Raw genomic sequence first — 12,033 nt, 5'->3', positions numbered from 1 at the left:
ATATTTTTTATAGGAAAAATTACTTGATTTTGTTTAAACTCTGAAATTGATTTTTATTTAAGAGTATATAGTTCTAAAAAGCTAGTATGGTAAATTTCATTATTCTACTTTATTACAATTAAATATTTTCATTTAAATTAAATATTTTCTATTTCTGAATAACCACCTTTTACCTCATTCAGCAAAGAAAATCACTTTTAAATTTGTCCATATCCATATTCTCTTTCATTTTTATTGTTGGAGAAAAACTAGTTAGGAGAATAAGACTTGACAGAGGAGCCAAGAGGTGTGTGTTAAAAGCCTCAAGAAAAGAGTTACTAATTTGTGTAGTTGCAAATTAAATTGATAGTGTATTTTTCCTTTCTCCAATATCCCACTGTCATAATACCACATTTTCATAGGATCAGCAAACATGCTGGTAAATGTTTTAACAACCAGCTCTGGGACTAGAGAAAGCCCTGCTTTTTAGGTTCACTGATTTCATGATATAACCTTCCATTAGTCCATATACTGACAAAATGGCTTAAGGCAGTATTTTCTAATTTTAATGCGAGAAAGTAGAAGACAGTATGCCCAACTTCTGTCAGCATGTGTTTAAACAGCTCAAAGAGCAGACCTGCTGTAAAATTTCAACCAGTGCTATTGCAAACAGCAAATACTTGGCCTTTCCCATTTTTAAAGAGTTTTTGAAATAATCAAACCCAGATAATACAAAGCCGTTATATCAGCTATTCACATATACACAGCATTACCTTTCACACAGGAACTTCGCATTTTGTGTCTTTCTGTCAAGCTGTGGGGCTAAATAAAGCCTTTTGCAACAGGTCAGAAACTTTACAATTTTCTTAAGATGGCTCAGTTTCTTACACATAGAAAGTCCCCTACTTAGATACCTTAAAACTTCTTGAGATGACATTTCAGTCAGTTTTAAGTTCTTACTGGTATAAAATGTATCAATTCTGCTTTGCTTCTCAGTTCCATTTTAACTAAAGCCCCTCTCCATGGACACCTAATTCTTGCAATGTGTATAATCTTATGAAAACTAGGAGGAGGAGATTTTTAGAAACTAAAAGACATTTCTGCCATATTCCCAACTCAGAGTCATATTTCATATTTATAATCTAAACTGATTACTTTCTCCATGGCTGTCCCTGAATAAAATTGTAAACTGGGCCAAAATGTGTCTTGAGTCCCATTTTCTTCTACTTTTTCTTTTCCTGGTCAAAATTTACTATCAGGAAAGGAAATAATATAACTTAGCCTCCTTGATTATTAAATTACTTTGAGTAAATTACTCTGCTGTGGAGATGCCTCTGGTAGGACAAAAATAGTGCTGAATTTGGACTTGAGTTGGGATACAGGCCTGGCTCTCCAACTTCACAAGGCATACTAGTTTCATGAAATCAGCCACATCACATGTACAGAGCTGATATTCAGCTGGTAAGCTTTAGTTCAGTGGCCCAGTTTTTTAAATATTGAGTATCCTAGCAGTTGGTAAGTGGTTGCTGCTCCAAGACCCCTAATGCCTTCACCCTTCTTCTCCCTACTCCTCCCAAATCCAGTAGCTGAAAGTTTATGGCCTGGTGGTGGCTTTGTGGTTACCAGAATACCTTTCCATGCCCACCACCCAGGAAGGCCGTAGGTGGGCACCAATGGAGGGCACGATAGTGTTTCCCAGCCTGCTAGCCTATTCTTCCCATACACTTGCCAGATGTTTTAAATTCTCCACATTGAACAGAAGTTGACTGTTTTTAACATATGCAACATATCATACATTGCTGATAGTATTCTACATTAATTATCAATAGGAAAATATCCCCAACTTGAGAAAACAATTTGTGCCCTTAGAGATTGAAGCCACATGCCCAGAGTTCTGTTGAGCTAAAAACAAATCTATGAAGTTAATTTCTAGGGGAACCTTCTTTTCCAAGTGTTTCTACTCTCAATTATTTATCATTCATTCAAAGTGAAATTTTGCTTTTCACTTAGTTTTGAGTACAAGGGCATTGTATTTTAATTCATTGTTTTAATAGTTCTACTTTGCCAGCAGTCTCAACTGCACCTGACTCTTTCAGCAGTGGCATTTCTAAGGGATACGTTATCATCATGTCTTCCCTCTAAAATATAGCCATAGTAAGAACAAAGGAAAATAATTATAAGTTCATGTTTAAATTCTTAAACTGATGGTGTTTTTATGATTTGTGATTTCTGATCTAAACATTGTTTTGCTGTACAACATATTCAAAGTAAGTTCCTGAACCACTTTTCCAAATTACCTTCATTGTCCTTTCATTTTAAAAACTCAATCCTAGTAACTCTGAAACTTGCCATACAGACTAGTATGGTTCAATCAGTATGGTTCATAAGATCTTTTATGCTAAATTTTAACCCAAAGCATTTTTAATTTCTAAAAATACTTGGTGTAAAAGGATGCGACTGAATATAAGTGCTGGTTTTTCTACTGATGCAAAATAAAGGGAAGACTTACTTTAGTGTCCTGCACAAAACTGATAGGTTAGGTTTTTTTTACTTTCAGTTAATGAGTAGTAAAAGACCAAACTTCATTCTTATCAAGGACAAAGTTATCTTTAATCTGCCGTATGTATCTCTATTAAGTACCCGGCATTTATTTCACATGTATGATTCCTTTTGTGAAATAAAAAGTTCCATGTGGAATACCAACATAGAATGTGCAGTAGGACCAGGGCTCAAAGTAACAGATCAACAGTGAAGATCAGGGAGGAGCCTTTGGTTAACTATTCTGTCAATCCTTGTTTACATTAAAGGTAGTGGTTATGCTTTTGTATAATGATGTATCCCTAACGTGAATATTCAAACTAAAGTTTGTTATCCTCCTTTCTCAAGAAATGTTGTCATAATCATGCCTTACAGAAATTTGCTAAGCCTGCACATTGTTGAAAAGTGATTTTTTGGGTTTTTATTTTTCCCGACTTATTTTCCTAGACTGATCCCGTTGAGAACACATATGTATGGAACCCGAGCGTCAAGTTTCACATCCAGTCACGGTCCACATCTCCTTCCACATCTAGTGAAGCTGAGCCAGTTAAGGTGCCTTATTGGAGCATCCCTGCTCCCCAACTTTTCACTTGTGTCAGAAAAGAGGGAATTGAATAAAACAAGTCTGTCTCTCTCCTCTTAACCAAATATGTAATAAGTTACAGTCTATTGGAGATCATTACATTTAACTGATAATGTAGGTAGAAGTAAAAAACTAAAGAGCACATTGTCCTCAAATAGTCAATCTGAAATAGACAAAACTAACTAGAAAGATAGTCTTTATTTTAATTAGAGAACCATGTAGAACAGAAGATTAATTATGTAAATTTTTGAATTATTAGAAACTCTAGGCAAATGGCAGTGCAGGTGCCATTCTCATATTTTAATTCTTCTAATAAATGTAATAGGTCATGATATAACTAACCTGTTACATCATAAATAGAGCTGAAAAATAAAATAGCCACTTCTGGCAACTGAATAGTTCATTCTAACTGCTAAATTGGTAACAGTCAACTAAATCCTGACATTTAATAGTGCAAAAAAAACTGTGTTGTGTTTACACTTCATGTCAATCAATGGTTTTAAATAGCCAATAGGCCAATTTTCTTAACAGAGATCATTTCTTCCACAAGTCAAAAGAATGCTGTACCTCAGTCCATACCATCCTACCTTAAGATCAGCTCTGGTTCTTCATTCAGCATCAGGATTCAGACAAAGCTCCTTTGCTTTCCTTTTCTTAAATCTCCAGAGCTGTGTCTAGCATTCCAATAGAAGCAGATAGTCCAATCTGAAGAGTTGTCTGAAGTGAAGTGTGAGGTTGTAGTCAGGTTCTGACTTGATTTTTCCAACTCTGTGACAGACTCCCCCAAATTGTTTAAGTTAATGAGACCCTCTTGTGTTTTTAGTTATAATTGTTTTAATATTTTGAGATTATACATTTTTGTTTTAATGATAAAATATTTCAAGCATTCAGAGAATATAAACACCCATGTAAATATCACCCACAGATTAAACAGATACGAAAATTTTGCTTGTTTTTCAGGTTTTTATTCAAAAATATTTCAGAAACAGTTGAAACATCCTCGTGTATACCGTTCCCCACTCTTCTTTCCCAGACATATCTAAATATCCTGAAGCTGATGTGCATCTTCCCTTTCTTGGTTTTAGATGTTCATTTCATTTGTATCCACAAATGATACATAGTAGTGCTTATTATGTGTTTATAATTTACATAAATATTACCTGTATCCTTCTGTAATTTTTTTCATTCAGAAGTCTGCTTTTCAGGTTTATTCCTACAGATATGTGTTCATTTAGTTCATTCATTATAACTGTGGCATATACCACAACTACTTATCCATTCTCCTGCAGTTGGATATTTAGGTTGTTTCCAATTTTTCATTATTATCAGTGCTGAAATTAATATCCTAATATCTGTTTTTGCAAATGTACAGAGTTTGTTTGGCATGTATACTTAGTGGAATTACTGAGTTGTATGTTATATGCATTTTCAAGTTTAACTGGATCTTGCCAAATTGTTTTCCACAGTGGTTGGACCAATTTTCACTCCCCCAGCAGTGTGTGTGAGTTCCCCATTTCCCCACATCCTCACCTCACAGTCACACATTAACTTTTGCCAGCTTGATGGGTATTAAGTGTCATTTTTGTATTACATCTGTTTTCTAGTGTTATTCAGCATCTTTTTGTATGTTTATTGACCATTGATGATTTGCCTGTTTGTGTCCTTTGTTGTTCTATTGAATCATTTTTCTTATAGCTTTTTGTGTTCATTATATACTCTAGATACTAATTCTTTGCTAGCTATATGCATTGCAAATATTTTCTCCCAGTCTGTGGCTTATTTTAAAATTTTATTTGTGGTGTCTTTTTGTCTTGCAAAAGTTTTGATTTTAAAATAGTCAGATTTATCAGTCTTTTTCTTTATGACTTCTGCTTTTTATGTCTTTTTAAAACAGTTCTCTATGCAGAGATTATAAAGATTTTCTTCTATATTTTCTTCTAAAAGTTTTTAAATTTTGCTTTTACTTGTTTAGGACCTTAATCAAACTGATATATATTGTTATGTATAATGGGAAATGGGCTTCTAATGTCTTTTTCCCATGTGAACAAGTGACCCTGCTATATTTCCCCCCATCGATTTGTAATGGCTATTTCTGCTTTATATGCATGGATCTGTTTGGATACTCTCAATTCTTTTCCATTGTTCTTTTGGTTTTTCCTGCATTGGCAGTAAATTGTCTTAATTACAATTACTTTCACTCTAAAATAATTCCTGATACCTGGTATGGTGAGCCATCCCACATACCTTCTTCCTTTTCTTCTTGACCTTTTAGTTTTTCATATTACTTTTAAGGTCAGCTTGTCAAATTTCACATGGGGCTTTTGATTGGAATTGCATTAATGTATAGATCTATTTGAGGAGAATTGACATCTTTCATGATACTGGGTATTCCATCTATGAACATGGTATACATATTAGGGATTCTCTTATATCCTTCAATAAAGTTTCATTATTTTCAGTGTATTTCATATTGCTTGTTAGATTTGTTCCTAGGTACCTTAAATTTTTTGTTGCTGTGGTGACTGGGATTCTTTTTAAATACATTTTCTTACTGTGCATTGCCTTGTCTTTATAAACTCTAGATCTTGTATCCAGCACCCTTGCTTAATTTTTTTTAATTCTAATAACCTTTGGACTTTCTATGTAAATTTGACGACTTTGTTTCCTATTGTTTTTTATTAACTTTTGTATAGATTTTCAGTGTTCCTCTCTTTTATCTTTCATATGTATCTTTTCAAATGTTAAATTATAAGTTTGGTTTAAAACTTTTTCAAGCTATTTAAAAGTAAATAAAATCTAAATTAGAGCTAAACTCACAAACAGAAAACTCTGAGAAACTCAACTGAATTTTGTTTTAAGGCTGTAGTGCTTATAAAATATTCTGTTTTTGGAGGTTGTATGGTAACAAAGATAGATTGTTGTATAGTAACAACAAAGATGAGGTTGTATAATAACAGCAAAGAAAGGACCATCCATTTTTCTTATAATATTTTAAAATATTCTGTTCTTTATACAAAGACTAGCGTTTTCCTTTTATTTTTTTGCTTGGCATCCTGAAAGGAAGTTACTTTCCATGTCTTTTTTTTTTTTTTTTTTCTCACTACTTTGCTGATTAAGCAGTGGCTCTTTTTTCCCCATAATAACATCCAGTGGAATGATTGGTTCTTTGCATTCAAAGAAATAATATTACAATAAAACCCCATAAAAGAAGACCATATTTTACATAGCTACCTAAGAAAGATATGGTATGTGACTAAATTTGTATTAAAGTCAGAATTCCAATAATATTAAATAATTACAATAAAATTAAATAATTCCCTTCTTTGGAAATTAATTTCTGCACAAAAATCCCAGTGTCAGTCTCTGTCTATGTATTCACATCCAGAGCTGTGTTCTATATATGTAATATATGTTCTATGTATGAAAGTTGAGTAGTTAAAAGAATCTTCTAAATATTTTATTATAAATCATTTTGAGATACTTTTTAGAATATGGCAAATTCAGATGAATGTAAAAATTAATATCCTCATATTTATGTAGGCCACATGCTATGGCTTTTTTTATTTGAATCATTTGATCCAAATGATTTATTTTTATATTTCCAGACTAAAGTAACTTACTAATTGAACAAATATTTCATTCGTAGATATTGCAGGCAGAGATTTAAATTATCAACACTATGAGAATTTTAGCTTTATTGAGGTTTTCTTTATTATTAATTAGTAGAACTTTTTGCCTTATTGATGTTTTGTTTTATTTATTTTGGCTTCTTTCTAGTTATATTTGAAATTAATGGAGTGTTTCATGACATTTATTTCCTTTTTTGCTCCTGGGTTCAGACTGTAGACTCCACTCCACTTTCAGTTCACACACCAACCTTAAGGAAAAAAGGATGTCCTGGTTCAACTGGCTTTCCACCTAAGGTACTCAATCTAGTTATAAGCATAGTGTGTTCCAAAAAAAATGAATTTTATCTGCTCTATGCATTTGCTGTGATTTTTTTGATATTATTTCTTCAAATTTACAAACAGAAAAACTTATAAAATAAATTATGTGTGAATGCAAATAATCACCAATAGGAAAGGTAGGGAGAGCGTACAGCACTTTTTCATCTTCTTAAATTCAATGTTTTGAAGTCTGTTATAATAAGAAGTAGCACTTCCTCTAAGCAGTATATGCCTCAGTAAGGCATTAAGTTGAGGCCACTTGTGGAAGAATCTGAGACTGAAATCAATAAACCAGTGAGAAAGAAAAACGTTTAGTGAAAAATTCAGGTGGACTTTTTTTTCCCATTCTATTTGACATAAATATGACTGAAGTATTACATATGGTAGAATGAGAAGATTTAGTTGCTTGTCTCAAGCTCCCACAAAGAAATTCCAGAAATTGGAAAACTGAATGATCTGCCTCTCCAGAACATAAACCTTGGATAAACCACAAAATGAGAGAGAGAGGTCAATAGACCTGAAAAAATATACAAAAAATATAACTGATATAGAAGAAAGACAAACTGAAATAACCTGTGCCCAGATAAAGCAAAATTTTAAGGCCAGATAGAACATGAATTTAAAATAAACATAAAAAATATCCTTAAAGAGATAAGAAGTATGTTGGTAACATGAGGCAGGATAAGGTAGTTAGGAAGAAAAATAAATTGGGAATACTTGACATGAAAACATAACTGCTGAAATAACTAAATAGATGACTTTAATAGTAGAAGGGGTAAAATGGATATCACAGAAAAACAAGTTAGTAGGAGGGAAGATAAGATGAAAAACAGGAAAGTTAAGATATATGACAACCCAACCAAAAGAAAACACTCTAGTAAACTAAAGGTTTATAAATAAAAGGAAAAATATTGGGCATTCAGGCAAAAAATATGTCACTTAAAGGGGAAAGAAAATGAGATTATCATCAGATTTTTTCATAGTAACAGTATGCTAAAAACAACAGCAGTGAAATAACACATTTAAGATACCCAAGGAAAGTACAAGTGAAAGATTTTTAAGGATTTAATATTTTAAGGATAGTAAAGCATACTCCAAAAATGAAGGCCACAGAAAACTATTAAGAACATGCAAGAGCTCAGGAAATACTGTTCCCATACCCCTTCTCAAGCAATGTGCTAGAGAACAAGCTTCAGACAACCAAAATGATAAGACACCAAGTACTTTGAGAGGCAAGAGTGAAGCAGGAGTCTAGAGTAAATTAGAGAATTGATTCAAAGTCCACATAAAGTGTTATACCAGTTCTGAAAACCAGACAACTACCCCAACTCAGCAATACGTTAATTTTGTGAAGTAATTAAACCAAAGAGATCACAAATTTAAGGGCACCAACCAGGCTCACTGGTTGGTGAGAGAAAGAAGTGCAAAACCACAAATAGTTGAGATTTGGCAAAAGTCCATGTACTGAATGGCGAGACTTCAAATCCTTTCCTCTGCTTAGCTCCCAGAATACTGACTCTTGGGACTGTAGCCTCCTCCTCCCCACTCTGCTTGGAGAGGATATCAGTGGATCCTCGGGTCCACTGAATGGCCCAGAAAAGACCTATCGATAATGTCATTTGGGGCTCCCTAATGAGATGGCTAGGTCCTTTCTTAACAAGCACATCATATGTTTGCTCTCATGTGGACACATAGATAGACACAAAATCTCTTTAGCTTTTTTACTGACTCTTAAAAATGTTAAGATTCCCAACAGTCAGTAGACATTTCAAAATTATCTAACAAAGGAAAAAGATCAGGGATACGTGGTGGCTCACACCTGTAATGCCAGCATTTTGGGAGGCTTAGGCGGGCTGATTGCTTGAGCCCAGGAGTTCGAGACCTACCTGGGCAGCATGGCAAAACCCTGTCTATATGAAAAATACAAAAATTAGCCAGGCGTGGTGATGTGCACCTATAGTGCCAGCTACTTGGGGGTTGAGGAGGGAGGATCACTTGAGCCTGGGAGGTCAAGGCTGCAGTGAGCTGAGATCGCACCACTAAACTCCAGCCTCAGTGACATGGTGAGACCCTGTCTCAAAGAAAAAGATAAATATTTCCTGTTTTTGTTGAAGGAAAAAGGGACAATGCAAAAAGCAGAAAGAAACAGAGCAATATGAGAACAAGAAGTCTCAAGTTAAAGAAAATATGATAAATATTTTTTAAATTCAGTAGATGAGTCACAAGATAAATTTGAGAATTCTCTTAGAAAATATTGCAAAAAATCAGGTAGAAATTAGGAAAAGAAAATATGAGAAATCCATATCCAACAAGTAGAAGTTCCTGAAAGGGAAGACAGAAAAAAGAAAAGGAAGGAAATTATCAAGTAAGTAAAAGACTTTTTCCTGTAACTAAAAGACATGTTTCCAGATTGCACAGTTCCATCAGTGCCTACTAGCACTAGTGGATGACAAATACCTGTCCCCAGTCACATCATTGTGTGAGTTTTCAAGATACCAAAGATAGAACTTTTTAAACCTTTAAGGAGATTTAAAAAAGATCACATCCACATATTCAGGAATTGAAATGACATACTTACCCAAGGCAAAATGAAAAGAATAGTTAGAAGGTAAAATGATTTCAAGCTAGAATTTTTGATTCCCTGTCAAATGTCCCATCGAGTTGCAGGGGGGAAAAAATTGCATTTTGAGAAATTCCAGATCTCAAAGAAATTTTTATCACCCATGTGCTACTTTCTAAGGAAACTTAATTAGTTCTACCAGAACAAGGAAGGGGACAAGGAAAGAGAGACATGAGGTCTATAGAAGAAGGAATTGTACACAGACCGGTTAAGAGAAAGACTGGAATAGGAAACCAGAGGGCTTCAGCAGGGTTGTCTTCAGGTCAATAGAAAGGGGTAAGGGGGCTGAAAGGCTTCCAGTGTGTTTGACCATGTGGTAAATAGATTCCAGGGGATTTTACAGTTCCTTAGAAGAGTCTGGAAGATTTAGTGATAGAGATACAGAAAGGTAAAAGTCGAGGGTGGGAGGGGAACTATTAATTTTAGAAAAATCATGAGGTTATACAAGTAAGATGATAACCATAGTGTACTTCTTATTAGTGAATAATGATTCTCTAGTCATAATAACTTAGACATTACATATAAATTTTAAGCTAAAACTACTATAACAATATTGGGAAAAATGAAAAAAGGGAGTAGATAGTGTAAAAGGGCCATATCCTTCTCTACCATAGCAGGAAGTGAACAGATAACGTCTCAAATCAAAAAACTGTAGTATAGGCTTTCCACCCCAGCTCTGCCCCGCCCATATAGATACCTATTACAGAAGGAGGGAAATAGCTTTTAAAAAAGGAGAGTTAAATGAAATTGCCTGTAGGAAGTAGGAGGAATACTTCTGATTTTGTCATAAGCATTGTAATACCATTTTACTTTTTCAACCATGTGTATGTATTAATTTGATTTTAAAAATTTAAAACAGAAAATGTAGAAAAATTTTTTGTGACTGGGAATAAATATAAGATCTCAAATCACAAGCATAAGGTGAAAATATTCGTGGGCTTTATATCAAAATTAAAAATGCTTTTACAGTGAAAGCATTGTTAACAGATGATGACAGACTAGTGGAAGATATCTGCAATGTTTACCACTAATAAGAGGCTTATTTCTAAAATACATAAGAAACTCCTGCAACTCCATATGAAAAAGACTAGAAATCCCATTGAAAGATTGGCAAGTGATATAAATAATTCCCAGAAGACGAAATCCTGATGGTCAACAAGCATGTGAAGAAATGTCCAACTTCATTAATCATTGGAGAAATTTTTAAAATTTAATTTTAGAATTACTATCACTTTCTATTCAAAATCAAGATAAAATTAAGTAAGATGACGTCATGGATGTGGAGAAACAGGCAGCTTCACACGTGGATACTGGAAGTATAAACGGGTACAGCCATTCTGGAGAGAACCTAGACAGTGTAGAGTCATACGTAAGCTGTATGACTCAGCAATCTCATTTCATCAGAAAAATCTCTTTCCTTTACAAAAACCTCCATACAGATTCATTAGGCAACATGATGAAGATGTTTATTACTGTATTTTTTATGGCAGTAGGGAGTTGGAAATAGGGGAAAGATTCCTAAAATGTAATTGATATATAACAGAAACACATTTATATAAATTAAAAACACATACTCAGACTATCTAATTTATAAAGATATATACATGTCCAAGGTATTGGATCATCAAGGATGAAAAGGCAAAATAAGACAAAATAAAACTAGAGTGAGGCTTCTATCAAGCTGATATTATTTTATGAATTAAATATTAACTTAGTTTGTTGCACCTAATATTTCTCCCCAAGAAATAAAATTTATTTCATGTTTTTTAAAAGATAGAGAAGTGAATCTATAATTATCTCAAAATAGAAATTTTAAAAGGGAAGAAAAAATATTTTTAAAAAGAAAATTAAATTTTTTTTTTTTTTTTTTTGAGACGAAGTCTCGTTTTGTCGCCAGGCCGGAGTGCAGTGGCGTGATCTCAGCTCGCTGCAGCCTCTGCCTACCAGGTTTAAGCAGTTCTCCTGCCTCAGCCTCCCGAGTAGCTGGGACTATAGGCGCATGCCACCATGCCCAGCTAATTTTTGTATTTTTAATAGAGACGGGGTTTCACCATGTTGGCTGGGATGGTCTCGATCTCTGGACCTCGTGATCCGCCCTCCTTGGCCTCCCAAAGTGCTTGGGATTACGGGCATAAGGTACCGTGCCTGGCCAGAAAATTTAATTTCTTTAAAACATTTTAAAATTTTTTGTAAAAAAGAAAGGGTTGTGTGAGATACTCTTTGACTTGTCATTTATTAGTGGTAAAAGTTTAATTATCTACAGTAAATTTTTAAGCTTTCACCAAGAGTTGTACTTGGTTCTACTTGGCTCTTACATCTTCTATTAAAAACATTTTACTTTCTCCAATGTGTAGCTTAAAATCTAC

At 33.9% G+C, this 12,033-nt stretch overlaps 1 protein-coding gene across 25 annotated transcripts in view; it reads left to right on the top strand.

Annotated features, from left to right (window-relative positions):
• Positions 1-12,033, top strand: part of CDC42BPA (CDC42 binding protein kinase alpha) — a 328,635-nt gene that overhangs the window by 263,543 nt on the left and 53,059 nt on the right. For 13 of the 25 annotated variants that reach the window (XM_017002580.3, XM_047432365.1, XM_011544309.4 and 10 more), the window contains 2 exons: positions 2,965-3,069; positions 6,940-7,023. The exons of 1 other annotated variant lie outside the window; for it this stretch is intronic. In XM_017002580.3, coding sequence (XP_016858069.1) covers positions 2,965-3,069; positions 6,940-7,023 — 189 coding nt within the window. The remainder of the gene's footprint in view (positions 1-2,964; positions 3,070-6,939; positions 7,024-12,033) is intronic. 11 more of the 25 variants (NM_001366011.1, NM_014826.5, XM_047432364.1 and 8 more) reach the window with 1 other exon arrangement.

This window comes from Homo sapiens, chromosome 1, assembly GCF_000001405.40.
Source record: "Homo sapiens chromosome 1, GRCh38.p14 Primary Assembly".
NCBI lineage: Eukaryota > Metazoa > Chordata > Mammalia > Primates > Hominidae > Homo > Homo sapiens.
The sequence above is the reverse complement of the archived record's forward strand: the minus strand, read 5'-3'. Positions and strand labels throughout refer to the sequence as shown.